General features: G+C 42.9%; 1 protein-coding gene across 56 annotated transcripts in view, besides 1 other annotated feature; it reads left to right on the top strand.

The window, feature by feature from the left end:
* The window catches only part of KCNMA1 (potassium calcium-activated channel subfamily M alpha 1), a 768,207-nt gene that overhangs the window by 512,387 nt on the left and 239,887 nt on the right, over positions 1-15,933 (top strand). For all 56 annotated transcript variants that reach the window (NM_001271518.2, XM_017016222.3, XM_024447990.2 and 53 more), the window contains 3 exons: positions 4,374-4,449; positions 12,980-13,055; positions 15,079-15,249. In NM_001271518.2, coding sequence (NP_001258447.1) covers positions 4,374-4,449; positions 12,980-13,055; positions 15,079-15,249 — 323 coding nt within the window. The remainder of the gene's footprint in view (positions 1-4,373; positions 4,450-12,979; positions 13,056-15,078; positions 15,250-15,933) is intronic.
* Positions 10,249-11,217: an enhancer, noted in NCBI's record as "OCT4-NANOG hESC enhancer chr10:78873963-78874931 (GRCh37/hg19 assembly coordinates)". NCBI's record gives its function as "activates a minimal SCP1, AML or CMV promoter by ChIP-STARR-seq in naive and primed H9 embryonic stem cells {active_cell/tissue: H9 hESC(naive and primed)}" and the evidence as "EXISTENCE:reporter gene assay evidence [ECO:0000049][PMID:30033119]".

Below are 15,933 nucleotides of genomic sequence, written 5' to 3'. Positions count from 1 at the left end.
GGGCAGTAGCATACCTGTGTGTTCAAGTGTCACTGAAGACATCTGCCAGATCAGCGGACAGTAGTAGGAGTGACAGTAGGAAGCCATCAGATCCAAAAGGAGATAGTGCTGGTGGTGGGATGGTGTTGCTTTAGGCCTTTGAAAGACTTTGACTTTTACTCTGTGTGGAATGGGTGGCATTGGAGGCTTCTGAGCAGAGAACACAAGGGGTCCAGGGCAGAAAGCGGTTAGGAAGCTGATATGGTTTGGCTGTGTCCCTACCCAAATCTCATCTTGAATTGTAGTTCCCATAATACCCCTATGTTGTAGGAGGGGCCCTGTGGAAGGTAATTGAATCATGGGGGCAGTTACCCCCATGCTGCTGTTCTCGTGATAGTGAGTTCTCACGAAATCTGATGGTTTTATAAGGGGCTTTTCCCTCTTATGCTCAACACTTCTCCTTCCTGCCACCATGTGAAGTAGGATGTGTTTGCTTCCCCTTCTGCCATGACTGTAAGTTTCCTGAGGCTTCTCCAGCCCTGTGGAATTGAGTCAATTAAACCTCTTTCCTTTATAAATTACCCAGTCTCGGGTATGTCTTTATTAGCAGAGTGAGAACGGACTAATACGGAAGCTATTGTGAATGATTCCTGAAAGACCAACCATTTCTCCAGATAGTCTGGCTTGATCTGAGGATGAAATGTAGACTGACTTTTTTAACCTATGGAGAACTTCATTGGCTCATTTGCATTAGTGAAACTCAGTGCCATAAAAATGCCCAGTATGAGGCAGTCAAATAAGCAAAGGCCACCCTTGTTCAGCCCACAGGGGTCTTGCTCCTGCATCACCCTGGGTCCCTTTTGCAAGGAGATATTTCCCTCTGGTCTCCATGTTGGGAAAAATAAATGATTCTCCTGCAAGCCAGTTTGTTTTTCTCTCATATGTATACACTATTGATCTTATCCTGTCTGCCTGCTTGCTTTTGTTAAGAAGGTGCTCAGAGCTAGATCTGCAGTTTGTGTCTAGCAAGAGTATAGGACCTTGTGGCCTCTGCATTCATTTCTTTCCTGCCCTTACTTTCATGCACCTTAATTAAAAGAAAAGCTTTTATTCTACTATATTTGTGTAACTCACTCAAATGTGGCAAGCTGCCAATCAGCAATGGATATACGATACAAACACCATCGTTTAAAGATAAAAAGAAGAAATCCAGTTTGAAGTTCAGGTTGTTTGTATTCTATTTTTAGTTCCATAAATAAAAGCATATCTATGCACACACAGAATGTTCAGGATTAAACACTAAATGGCTAATACATTGCTAGCATGTATTTCTACAGGAGTGCCTCTTATCTATGGTTTTGCTTCCTGAGGTTTCAGTTATCCCCAGGCAACCGTAGTCTGAAAATATTAAATAGGAAATTCTAGAAATAAACAATTCATAATGTTTAAGTTGCATGCTGTCCTGCTTGGTTCCATCTGGGACAAGAATCCTCCCTTTGTCCAGCACATCCGTGCCATCTGCACTCCCTGGCCATTAGTCTCTCAGGGCACTTCAGTGGGCAGACCGATGTCTTGCTGTAACCCATGTTACCTGTGTTCAACTAACCCTTATTTTACTTAATAACGGCCCCAAAGCGCAAGTATAGTGATGCTGGTACATATTGTCATAATTGTTCTATTTTATTATTGCCATTGTTAATCCCTTCCTGTGCTAATTTATAAGTTAAATTTTACCGTAGGTGTGTGTATATAATGCATATAGGATTTGGCACTATCTGAGGTTTCAGGCATCCACTGGGAGGTCTTGGAATGTATCCCTCAAGGAACATGGAAGAGTGTTGTTATCTTTCATAGTTTCAGTGCTAACTGCCAGTCGCCTTCTACTCCACGTTTCTACATTTGTCGTTTTAGCTCAGCAATATGCGACAGTGATACTGGTATGAGATAACAGTCTAGGTTGGGCTGGAAGGTTAGGACCAGCAGTAGAGTCTGTTATAAATTTAATTTCCAGCCCTTGCCCCCTCCCATTCTGATTTAGCAAGTCTTGTGAACCTCTTTGGAAACTTTATGCACACACTGAGCAAACAATGTATTTTTTGAGACCTTAGAATTTGAAATTTTTTTTGTTACTTTTATTCTTGAACAACCACTTGACTGGGTATAAAAATCTTGGGTCAAATTCTGTTTGTCTAAAAATTCTGAAAATTGCCCAATTGCTGTTTAACACTTTTTTTTTTTTTTTTTTTTTTTTTTTTTTTTTTTTGAGACGGAGTCTCGCTCTGTCGCCCAGGCTGGAGTGCAGTGGCGCGATCTCGGCTTACTGCAAGCTCCGCCTCCCGGGTACACGCCATTCTCCTGCCTCAGCCTCCCGCGTAGCTGGGACTACAGGCGCCCGCCACCACGCCCGGCTAATTTTTTTGTGTTTTTTAGTAGAGACGGGGTTTCACTGTGTTAGCCAGGATGGTCTCGATCTCCTGACCTCGTGATCCTCCCGCCTCGGCCTCCCAAAGTGCTGGGATTACAGGCATGAGCCACCGTGCCCGGCCAACACTTTTTGTTAAATATAATGATCTTAGTTACATTAACGGTAAATAACCCCATCAACACTGGTGGTTTATTTTTATTGCTTGATTTTAATACTTGAAATGTGAAAATGAAAAGCCAGATGCTTCTTGGCATTGGTCTCTAAGAACTGATCCTTCATTTTACCTTTTAGTCTCCAGTCATTTTTTCATATCTCAAAAGTTCTTTTCTGTTATGTCCTGGCCTTTGCTTATGATCAATGTGATGTTTTGACTTCCCTTTGGCCAACACATTTTATCCATGGGTTGGATCTCTGTGATTTCTACTGTGTTTCTATTTTCTGAAGTTTCATCTTTTTTTTTTCTCCCTTTCTCATATTTTCTCTGCTTTCTGAGGTGACTTCTTAGTTTTGTACTCTGCGCCGTGGTCGGTTTTCAGCGGTGCTAAGTCAGCCTTTCATCAGCTCAGTTACAACTGTGCTTTTGGCCGTGAGCCTTTTTATTTCATCAACATCCCGTCTCATCTCTGCAATTATTTAATAAAAGTTATATAAGTATTATTTAGCATAGAAGGAGAATGTTTTCAAAAAAAGTCTTCTGTTCATGATGGTTAATCCTTTTCAGATGAGAAATTATTTTTTTGAGCCAATCCTTTTCTCCCTCTTTCCTTGTACAGATTTTCCCCCACCCCATGAACTTTAAGTTAATTTTCCCTTATTACCTAAACAGCTCCACGTTGCGTGCAGTTAGTGTACTCCTCATTCAAGTAGAAGGTAGTAAGGATTCCTTCCCACCACTGTGCCCTAGGCTGCCCTTTACTGGCTCACGGGCGTGGGAGAACAAAGCCCCACCCACGGGCGTGGAGTTGTCTGTCAACTCAGTGCACTGGAGGGCTTCGCACTGCCTTTGGCACGTGGCGGTGCTTAATAAAATGCTTCTAGAAAGTCTGCAAAAGAAAATCCCCTTGGGAGTGGGTGTGACATTCAATGTGTCTCAAAGCGGTGACAAACCAGCATTTTGTAAGTAATTCCCTTGCATGATAGCCAAATTATTATAGCCCAGGACTGACTGAATGTTTTGACCATGAATTTCACCTGAACAGAAATATAATTCACTCTTAGCTATTAAAACATAATAATTTGCATTTTTAAAATGTCCTTGATGTGTTTTCCTTCTCCATCTCTCTTCTGCCACCTAAACACTGATGCTTCTTTTTCATTCAAGAGAGGTTGTTGATTTAGAAAGGACAAACCATTTATCTTAACACTTAATAAAAGGGGAACTATATAAATTTTGAATCCTGAAGTTGTGGGGTGTGATATCTCACTGATCTTTTTTTTTTTTTTATTGGGAGGAAAATATAGAAGTTTGTAGAAAACAGATAACACTGTGGGCTGTACTCTTCATTTTATCAGGGCTGAAGATAAAGATAAAAAATAAAATCCATCAAAGACATAAGGTTATCCGATTTATTCTCAATCTGCTCTTAGCACAAGGGTTACCCTGAGCTATCACAATTCCTAGGATTTTTCAGAGACAAAATCCTGCCAGATAACTAGGTAACTTAGAAACAGTGCTTTCAATCAGAGATCACCAAATGAAAAGTCTCATTAACCTGGCTTCTCCCCATGAGCCCTTCCTCTAAAGAGGTTCCAAACAGGCCACCTTTATAAAGAGAAAGTCCATTTCCCAGTCGAGATTAAACCAGTCAAGAATCAGAATGAAGGAATATGTCTGAGGTACCAGCTGGTTTATCTTCTGCAAGAACTTCCCATCCCTTCGACCCTTGGGAACTGTAAATCAAATGGCAGACTGTGAACATTAAAATCACACATTGAAAATAATGCATCTCTATTTCATTCTTTTTTCCAGGTTTGAGATTTTTAAGAGCTCTGAGACTGATACAGTTTTCAGAAATTTTGCAGTTTCTGAATATTCTTAAAACAAGGTAAGATGTTCTTCGTCATATTTTTTTCATTCCAGTCCCCTATGCCAAGTTGCAAATATCAGGTGTGCTTGCTTTCATCACAATGACATTATTAATAGTTATATTATTCACAGAAAGAGTGATCTAACACAGAGAGGGAGAGAAAACCAGAGTAGGGTTTGAGTTGCTCTCTTCTGCAGGGCCAGGGAACTATGTGGTGAAAAGAGAGAAATAGCTGTGCATGCAGGGAAGTAGGGACACTTTTAGGGACACATAGCTGATATCTGTGTGCCCAGTGGGGTTGCCCAGATAAGAGCCACGGTGTCAAGGGGAAAGGTGCACAGTGAATGAGGGATAGATTTGCTCATTGATTGGGAAGTCCTTGCTGCCAGATTCTAAATCGCCCCTTTATTACATCACTAAATAAGAAATTGAACCCAGTCGTAAAGGCAATAGAAGCAATGCTGTGAGAGGCAATCACAAACCTCATACGGCAAACAGAAAATCATTTCATTTCAAAGCACATTTTAGATGTTCACTTTATATCCGTATAGCCCTTGGGGCTTTCTCTGTGAATTGCCTTTTGGGGGAAAACCTACAAACCTCCTGCCGAATGCACCATGAATACTTCTGTTAACTGCGTTATGATCTGGAAAACACAACTGGACCAGGAGGAAAAGCCCCCAGAGGATCCCTTTCCTGATGACCTGCCGGCTTGCAGAGCTGGCCTGAAACCAAGGCTGTCTTGATGAATAAACTAATAAAAGAGGTTAGACGTGCTCTAATGGAGAATAAGTACAGGCCATAAATTTCTCTTCTAGGAAATTACACTCTAAGAAGCTAACTTCTAATGTTCCATTTCCTCTTTGGTTGCCCTTCATGCATTTGATAAATGATTAAAAACAGGACACCTCCATATTTTGTGATTTGTAATTAATATATCTGTAGTTTTGAGGATTAGATTCAGCATCATTTTCCTGGTAACACAGGCTGGGACCTAGCTTCCTGAATGAACCTGACACAGCCAACAAATTCAACCTATGATTGGCTTTACTCCTTGGGTGTTAGTGTTTTTTTTGCTTGTTTATTTTATTTTGCTTTAATTCCAAATTGGTTTCCTCTCTCTGACTGCTCATCTATGTGACTGTGAGGTCAAATTCACTTTCTATTAGTCAAGTTGAAAAGAAAAAGAGAATCCAATGGCACTGAAGTCTTTAAAAGTATGTCCTCCTGCCTTTTACTGTTCATTATCCTGAGATAAGAATTTATCAGTCCTCTGTTTATTAGCAATAATGTAATATTATTCACATACAGTGAATATTGTATTTCTTCATGTTTTTCTGATTGCCAATAACCTTGATTTCTGCCTTTTAATTATTCTTCTATGTGCTAGAATCATATTACTTTTGAAATGTAAACGATCAATGAAGCTAGCATCTCGCCAATATTTACGTATGTCAGATTCACTCCACTAGACTGTGTTTTAAAGATGGAACGCGTGAGTACCCAGCACCAAGCATAGAGCCTTGTCCTTAAGAGACACTTACTTTTTTGGTAGGGATGGTGTTTTGTGACACTCTCTAACATTGGGTAGTGTCTGTCTCTCCCTGTTTCACAATTACATCATATGTTAGGGGGATTTTTATTCTCTGATGCCAGCATTTTGAGAAGGTTCCATTGCTCTGAGGAATACTGTCTACTCCCTGGACCGTTTTAGAACTTGAGAAAATGATGGACCATCTGAATATCTTTTTCTGACTTTCTGCTAGGACACTCACCTCTCTTTCCTTTGGATGCGGGAAGTGGCTGTGGGATCCCTGGTGTCAGCTCACCTGCCAACTGCACTCAGTGCTGCCTCTCTCAGTGCAGAGCGGGGAAGCTGAAGCAGCCAGCCAGGGGACGAGGGAGAGAATGGCCCTAGGGAAGAGTCACGGGGTGGAAGGCTGTCTGGGCATCTGCCATCCGGGCCCCAAAACAGCCTTTTTCCAGCACCCCACTTCCCACTATATGAAACTCTTGTTGTTAGAGGGTGCTTTTTGCCACAAACCCACAACCTGGGTTTTCAGAGTTCCTTTCACTTATGGTCATAACCAGATGGTTGAGATAATTCAGCAAGCCTGGAGTGAGCACCCATTGGTATCAGCAGCAAGGTGCATGCTAGGAGTCCTGCTGTCAGAGAACTTGCTGCGTAGGGGGCCAGGCCACCTGACGGTGTGGTTAATGCTGATGTCAGCATGCCCAGGGGTTGAGAGGGGAGTAACTAAGCTGGGCTTAGCCTGAGTTGCAGGGCAGTCAAGGATCTTTTCGAGGAGAAGGTTACTTTTAGGTAAGCCTTGTAGAAAAAAGTGTCATCCTCATGGGGCTGGGCATGTGAGGGGTAGGGTGGGGGTTGACTTCTAATCAAGGAAGATGCTAACAGCACACTGGTGTGAGAGCATAACACTTGGGGAAACTTTGGGTAATTCTGCACTCCTGGACATTAAGCGTTCTGTGATGGAAAGAGGAGGATGAGGTTAAGAGGGTAGGAAAGGCCAGGTCACCAGGCACAGAAGCAAACGTCATGTAATTGTAAGAAATCTAGAAGCTTTAGGACAACTCTCTGAGGCCATTCTCTCTCCAGGTGCCAGCCTGGCTAATCTTGGCTCCTTCCTTTTGGGCATCCCCAAGTGTGGATCCCAAAGTTCTGTCCCAGAGAAAGTGCAGCCTTGGCTTTTGTAGGGTTTTGGACTTTTGAGCGATTCTCCTGTGACTCTTCCATACTCTGCTGCTTTCATAGCGGTCCTTCCAGAAGGGTGGGTTGGGGGACCCATGTAATCGTCTTTAGGGAGATTTTGTCTGGCTCTCTTTGGCGGTGAATTCCTGCCAATCTGTGGCATTAGGCAGGGATGGAGGCTTTGCAATGCAATTTGAAATAATGATTTGGAGTTGCTGTTTCATTTCCAGTACTTTGGCTGCCTCACTGGGCCAAGAGCTGAAAGAAATAAGGCAGAGAAGCATAAGGTGGGCAGAAAGATTGATAAAGAATTAAGAATGCAGCAGAAGGAAAATTAAAGTGCATGGGATGAAATGGGCAAATCACAATTATGTGACCAGCATCAGGGCCCTTTCCCAAACTGCAAGCCCATAGGGGGCCTAGAATACTCCATAGCCTGAAACGGCCAATTAAAGGGGAGACAAGGAGACTCCCTCTCACTATCTGAGGTTTTGGCAGTTTCTCAGTTGCCCTGCAAACTGGAGATCTAACACACAGGTGCTAGAACACTTATTCTACTGTCAGAGGAAAGTCAGCAGCTGTGTTTAAAGGCTGTAATTCCACATCTCATTGACTGTGGTAAATATTGATGACTAAAACATGGATCACTCAGCAATTTTTTCCAAAATGGGAATTTCCTTATTGTTTCCTCTAATTTTTCTTTTCTTTTCTTTTCTTTTTTTTTTTTTTTTTTTTTTTTTTGAGATAGACTCTTGCTCTGTTGTCCAGGCTGGGCGTGATCTCAGCTCACTGCAACCTCCGTCTCCAGGGTTCAAGCCATTCTCCTGCCTCAGCCTCCCGAGTAGCTGGGATTACAGGTGCCTGCCACCACACCTGGCTACTTTTTGTATTTTTAGTAGAGACAGGGTTTCACCGTGTTGGCCACGCTGGTCTCGAACTTTTGACCTCAGGTGATCTGCCCACTTTGGCCTCCCAAAGTGCTGGGATTACAGGTGTGAGCCACTGTGCCCAGCCTGTTTCCTCTAATTTTGAAAATATGTTCATGGTAAACATTGCAACAACACACAAAATCACATAGGATAAAGTAAAATTGCCTCCACATCACACTACTTTGAGATAATGATTACATCTACTATGTCACCTTTTGTTTCTCACATAGCATTCCATGATATGCATGAGTCATCGTGTACCTAACCAATATGGTTTTGGGAGGCGTTTTTGAAACTAAAACATTACTACTGACATGAACTTAGAAATGGCTCCAAGATAAAGTTTGTAAAGAAGAGTATTCTATATGGAGACTGCAAGAGATGTGCAGGGAGAGGCCAAATCATGCAGGTTCTTAGATTCATGGACTTTACTGAGAACAAATGAGAGCTGTTGAAGGATTTTAATCAGGAGAGGAAATGTGGTTAGACTGACATTTTAGAAAGATCCACTATTCCAACAGTTGTATAGAGAATGGGGTTGAAGCATCAAAGACCTCATAGACCATAAGACCAATTAGGAGGCAGTAGTCCAGGGAAGAGGTATTAGGGCATGGCCTTAGGCAGTGCAAATTGGGGCAGAGAAAGAAGAAGGGATCTAGAGATAATTAAGGGATTGAATTGGCAGAATTTCACTTTGTTCCACTCATGTTGTCATTCAGACCATTTATGTTAGTGTGGTGCAGTCCAGTTAACTTTTTAGGGGGTGGGTATTTTACATCTGTCCAGCAAAGAGAGCAGTAAAACAAACAAGGCCAGCAGCACCTGGCAGTACCAGAAACAAAGAGAAAAATTAGAGACAAGCAGAACAGGGACAAACGTACACTTCTTTGTACAAAGTGCATGGCATTTTCTGTGTTAACTGAAACATGTCTTGTTAAACATATAGAGGACAAAGGAGGCCCCAGAAGCTCTGGGTTTACAGCTGTAATCTCTGGAGCCAGACCTTCTCTTGCAGCATCCACAGTTTCTTGGAAGAGGTCTCTAATCTACAAGAATCCTGTGCCTGACCTATCATGATTCACTGTGTCCATCGATGTGAATTAGAACTCATGGGATGGAGACTCAGGAATTGTATAGGCAACATGAGAATGATTGACTTTAGTTGGATCAGGTGTTGATGATAAGATCATAATCTCCCTCAAAGCTTAGGAAGCAGGCTAGAATCTGAATGGTTCAAATCATTCTAACCGCTGGTAGCTTCGTGTTTGGCCCAGATCCCTGGGCTTGACCAGGAAGGCTATGACTATCTCCACACAGAGATATATAACCTTTGCTATGCAGAGCACACAGCCCTGCTCCTGGCGTGCCTCACTCTTTCTTCCCAAGGAGCCCTACTTAACCTGGCAAGGTTCACATTTCAGACTGTGGAGAATGCCCACCAGGGGTTAACCTTGCATCTTTTGCTTGTAGCTTTCAGATGTGTGGTCATACAGTTTCATTTAGAAAGCAAATTCCTAAACCTAGGGATCTGTGATAATACTGATGTCATAAAAATAATCAGATTTCAGAGCTAAACATGGACTGTTTTAGCAACAATGATTAAATGTTCTGCATATGGCAAGAGCTCCCTAACGCACTACTAATATCACTGTAACCATCATTTAGAGTTTAGTAATCACCATATTTAGGTCATTTTTCCAAAGCACCAAGGAGACTCAGACTCTAAATAGGTTTAATATCTCAAGAGGACTCTACATGGTTGTTGGTGGGACACTGCTGTGTTCAGGTCCCAAGAATCCAGGAGTATGTAAGTGAAGCCACTTGGTATTTAACGATACCCTGAGAAAATGAACAACACACACCTCCCTAAGAGGCCTCCCTTTGTCGCCGGCTATCAGTTCTTCATCTATTTCTTACCCTCCAATGTGGGAGCACACCTTAGAGGACTTACAAGGTACAGGCAGGAGAGAATTCTGCTTAACACAACATCTAACACATAATAAGGGCTCAATAAATATTGGCAATTATTATAATCTGGTAACTCTAGAAATGACCAAGAGAGACAGAATGGACATTTTGGCTGTTTTTCCAAGTTTTCGAGCCAGAAGAAAGTTGTTCCACACATTTTGAAATATCAGTCTCACCCACAAAGTTGAATCTGTTTATTCTTTCCATGAACTGTCAGAATCAACTCTGGAAAAACTAAGACTATGGATTCCTCTGTGCTCTTCCATAGAAGAAGAAAGATTGTTGTTATGAGCATTAAATGACTTAGTATACATAAAGCACAGGTGATCCTAAAGCACTTAGGATGGTGGCACATGTGGTGAGCACTGGGAAAGAACTGTAAACAAGCTAGCTGAAACTATTACTGTGATCTTAAATGCCTAGAATTTAAATCATTGGTTCTCCAAAAGAGAGGTAAGAGAGGGCAGTCATAACAGAGATGAACTGACCAAAACTAATGGGTTGGGCAACCCTGTAGGCTGCATTAAGCCACTACTGGGAAAATGCAAGAGCTAGAAAAGAGAGTTCTTTTCTGCAAGATGCAGCAAGGAACACAAGAGTCAAATAGCAACCTAAAACTTTACAAAAGACATCTTAAGTCAGTAGGATCAATTACCAATGAATGGCTGGAGTTGAGAGCCGGGGAAAGTCACTTTGTCTTGCAGATGGATGGAACGACTTTAAGGAAGCAGTAGGGATTGAACTGGGCTTTGAAGAATGGGGAAATTTGACTAGATGGGAAGGGCTTTCAAGTTGAGTAAATAGTGTAAACAATAGCTATAGTAAATAGGTTTAGCTGGCATGGCAGTTTCAAGAGTTTATGTGAAAGAGGGGTGGTGGGAGAGACTGGGACTTCACAAGGTGTTGACAATGGAAGGAGAGAGTTTGAATGTCATCTTTTAGTCAACAAGAAGCCTTTGGACAGTGAAGTGACCTGCTGACAGCAGCGTTCAGGTATACCCCAGTGGGACTGAACAGGATGCAGTTTAGAAAGAGAGCAGGGGCAGATACCAGTGCACTCAGTGCAGAGTCACGGGTCTGCTATGCTCCAGGGACCCAGGGCTCCTGGAATCCAGACAGACAAGGCCTCAGCTCTTAGGGACCTCAAAATGTCATAAGGTCCAGTTGATCCACTCAAGGAACACCAGTGAATGCTAAAGCTATTAGGTATAAGGTTTTTGGGGAGCAGGATATTCCTGCAGTCTCGGGGCCTCACTCAAGGTGGCATATTCATTACAAAGGGAAATGGGCACCTCTCAGTGGAGACATTAGCATTTCTGCCTTAGCCACATGGATGGAGCTAGTCATTGGGCTGGGATATCCTGATGTGATGCCATCCCCGAAGAGATTCTTAACAGAAATACTTAAGTAGGGAGCTATGTAGGATGATCAAGTCTAGAGGTCTAATGTACAACATGAGGACTATTGCTAATAAAATTGTATGGTATTTGGGATTTTTGTTAAATATGTAGATTTTAGCTGCTCTTGTCACACACAAAAACGTAACTATGTGAGATGGTAGGTAATATCATGTTGTAAACCTCAAACATACACAATAACATTTATTTAAAAAATAAACTGGGCTGGGCGCGGTGGATCACACCTGTAATCCTAGCACTTTGGGAGGCCAAGGCGGGCAGATCACCTGAGGTCAAGAGTTCGAGATCAGCCTGGCCAACATGGTGAAACTCCATCTCTACTAAAAATACAAAAATTAGCTGGGCGTGGTGGCGGGTGCCTGTAATCCCAGCTACTCGGGAGGCTAAGGCAGGAGAATTGCTTGAACCTGGCAGGCAGAGGTTGCAGTGAGCCAAGACCGTGCCACTGCACTCCAGCCTGGGTGACAGAGTCAGACCTCGTCTCAAAAAATAAAAAATAAAATAAAAATAAATAAGTAAATAAACAGGATCCAGAATATAGAACATTATAGAAGACAACCTAGGTTCACACAAAATTTAATGTCATTACAAAGGAGTGGTGTCAATTATACATTAGAAGGGACTGAAGCTGGGATTGGCAAACTATAGCCCATGCCGGCTGCCTGTTTTTGTAAATAAAGTTTTATTGGAACAAAGCCATATCTATTCCTGTACATGATGTCCAAAAGCTGCTCTGAAGCCACAGTGACAGAGTTGAGTATTTGTGACAATGTCTATATGGCCTGTAAAGCCTAAAATATTTACTCTCTGTCCTTGTTTCCTGACAGTTGGATTTAAGCCACCTAACAGCCAAATGCAGTGCATGAAACTTGGGTCTGGGGGGAAAATAAAAAAAAATCAATAAACATAATTTTGGGGCAACTGGAGATATTTAAATAAGGTCTGCATATTAAATAGCATTACTGAATTTTTATGTTTTAATTTTCTGAGGCGTGCAATGGTATTGTGATTATGCTGTGCAATGCCCTTCTTCTTAGGAGTTGGGTGCTAAAGTATTTAGGGCTTGTGCCATGATGTCTCTGATTTATTGGTAAATGGTTTAGCAAATATATATATATATATATGTACATGGCAAGAAGAAGAGAAGAAAAAAGGGCGGGGGGGATAAGAGAAAAAGCATGTAGGGAGATAAAGCACCCGTGGTAAAATGTTAATAATTGGTCAGTCTAAATGAAGAGCGTACAAGTGTTCATTATACTGTTCTTTCCACTTTTCTGTAGATTTGAAGAGTTTTTTAAATAAAAGTTAATTTTTACCAAAGTTAAATTTGTTCCTCTAGGCTCTGTCCTGACCTTCATCCCAGCAGCTTCCTCCACCTTCCAGAATTCCCTTATAATGGAGAAATGGTTGGGAGTTAGATGTGGCAGCCTCTCCTGCTAAGCGGGTGCTGTTACCCTGTAAGGCAGCCCCAGCAGGGCCTTCCCTTGGTAACGTGGGGATTTTGCTTGTTGTCTCTTGCACAGTAATTCCATCAAGCTGGTGAATCTGCTCTCCATATTTATCAGCACGTGGCTGACTGCAGCCGGGTTCATCCATTTGGTGAGTAACCTTGAAGACCCTTCTGCTCTCGCTTGCCTGCAACAAGACCCTCTCTGAGTCATTTTATTACCTAAAATTTATCTTGCTGGAAATTAACTTCACCTCGGTTGTAGACAGGAAGATGGGAAGCAACCACACAATTGTCTGGGTTTCCAACCTTTTTACCCCAAACTAGTTCCAAATGGTGAGTAATGTTTGCACTATTAACCTGCATTTTTCAGTTCATTGCTCATTGGTATTGTCATGGGGGCTTTGGTAGATTTTCCTTCTGTCTGCAATAACTATAGTAAGCCACAAGATGGCAGTGCTTCCTAAGCAAACACCTGGAAAAGGTCTGGGGACAAGGTTGGAAGTTGGACCCACACCTCCTAGTAAACAACAAATTCAGATCCCTCAATTTCTTTCCACTTCCGCCTTACGAAAAGCCACCTTTGATTATTTTGTCTGATTTGTACCTCAAAAATGTTCATTCTTTTTCATTAGTGACTCTTTGAAAGCCTTGTATTAAGTCAAGCCCCTCACACCACCCGAAGGCAGACTTTCCCCCTGCTTTTAGAGAGCACAGCCATTGTGGGAAGTGTGTTTCATGCAAACATAGACTGTTACAACTGGAAGGAGCCTCGTCTAGCTCTGAGACTTTGGATAAAGTTGACCACCAGTGGCTGAGCCTCTATTTGCATAAGGGATAGAAGGACGCGCTTAGCTACCCACACTTGGGATTTAGGTAATTATCACCCAAAGGAAGACAGGCCTGGGATGGCAGTGGTTGGGGCATGGGGCCTCACGTAGTCACCAGATCTAGAGTCTCCTGCCCAGCCCTTAATGCTGATGGGATTCATGGCCAAAATCAACCTTAATCACCCTAATTCTTGCTGTAACCAAGCACGAAGCACCCAAATCACATATGTGGAGGAGATAGTTGTCTTTAATAAGATGATGACCCCACCTTACTACGGGTATTAGTGAAGTCCCTTCAGGTTCACCAGGAAACTTTTGTGAAAATGGCACATTGAGGACAAACTGATGTGTGAAAGAGGCCAGGCCCTGGAAACATTTTGCAGAGGCAGAGGTGGAGGCCTGGGGGCCACCGTCTACAGGCCCTGTGGGTGGATCACAGGCATATTTGAGTAAAATTGGGCCCGCAGCTCCCTCTCTCCTGAGAGTATCTAAAGTACCTTTCCTGCCCACCTACTAGCCTTGTTGGCAGATCAAATATGATGGAAGGACAGGAAAGTGGGGAAACTGCAGTCTCGGGCCAAAGCTCTCCAAATCCAGCCACACCCATTTGTTGAAGTTTTGCCTCTGCAGAGTTGAACAGGACCTGTGTCGCCCACAAAACTGAAAAAGTTTGCCAGCCCTTGATCTAACGGGCTGTGCCAGTGCAAGCTGTTCTCATGAGCTCACTTTCCATGCCCCTGTGAAGATTCCAGCAGCCTCAAGGCTGGGACCACCATTGCCAATTTGCAAAGGAGGGAGAGCAGGGCCAGATTCCAGAGATGCTGTTTGAATCAGAAATAAGCAGGGCCCATATATACTCTTTGGATAAACTGATGGAAGGAGGCAGCCCCCTACGGAAGTGTTTAGAATTTCTGTGGGAGAGGCAGATCCAGGCCATCTGGGCCTTAGAAACCCATTGAGGAAGGTCAGGGACGGAATCTCTGGCTCTTTCCTTGAAGAGAGTGCTCTAAAACCTGGCCAGAGGCAATGCCCTGAATTTTAGCTGGCTTCCCACATTTTACCAGAAGAAGAGAAAAGGCCTAGAGATATTTCCCTTCTTGCTTTCCCTCTCTGTCTCAATCAGCCAGGAAGACATCTCCTGCAGCTGCTTCTCCACTTTCTCTGTGTCCTGCTCAGGAGCTCTGCATCCTGACTCACAGAACTCAGCCCGGGAACCACACATCTCGTGTGGAGAGTGGTGTGCAGTAGCAAGTGGCCTTCGAGAGTGCCGAGCTTCCGCGTTTATTGCATGTATACACTTCAATAGCATGTTTTTCTTTTTTCTCCCCTGTCCCATTTGCTTTAGGTGGAGAATTCAGGGGACCCATGGGAAAATTTCCAAAACAACCAGGCTCTCACCTACTGGGAATGTGTCTATTTACTCATGGTCACAATGTCCACCGTTGGTTATGGGGATGTTTATGCAAAAACCACACTTGGGCGCCTCTTCATGGTCTTCTTCATCCTCGGGGGACTGGTAAAAAAAAATCTTTATTATGATGTTGATTTTGATGGCTGTTAATATTTTCCATGATACATTTCCTTAAAGCTTTGTATTTTAGACTGTATTCTGCACTAGAAGCAAGCCTTAACGTTACAATCAGGCTAAGTAAATCCAAACACGATGGTGACTTTTCTGCATAATTCTTGGTGTATTACACTTGTCCCATAGATCCAGGCACATTGCCCTTGTCGGGGACAGCCATTTAGCCAGGAGCAAACCTAATTGTCTTAAGAAAAGTGATGCTGTTAATAAGGGAGAGTGTCTACCCCTTAGCAATGTAACTCAGCATCTGGTATGCTACAAGGACAGTGGCTGTCACCTGCCTCTGGTAGAAGCTGTCGATACTTTGTAGAGACAGTTTGCGGTTTCAAGAGCTCTCCCTTCCCCTTTATGTTCCTCCCCTAACTTCCAACAAACACTGTGGCTGGGGCCTGCCCTAAAGAGAAGGGTCCCTACATCAAAGGAGAGAGAGCACCTTAGTCTTGTCCAGGCGGACATCCCCATGTGAGCAGAGTGCAGTTTTGCAAACAGCTCACTCCATTCTGCAGCGGACACATGGGGTATTTTTGCTCCTTTCTTCTAAGAAAGTTTCACTGTTTGCTTTTTAAAAGTCTACGCAGCTCTTTATGTTGCACTAAACCACCCCTTCTAATGTAA

This window comes from Homo sapiens, chromosome 10, assembly GCF_000001405.40.
Source record: "Homo sapiens chromosome 10, GRCh38.p14 Primary Assembly".
Lineage (NCBI taxonomy): Eukaryota > Metazoa > Chordata > Mammalia > Primates > Hominidae > Homo > Homo sapiens.
This window is presented reverse-complemented; position numbering and strand designations above follow the sequence as displayed.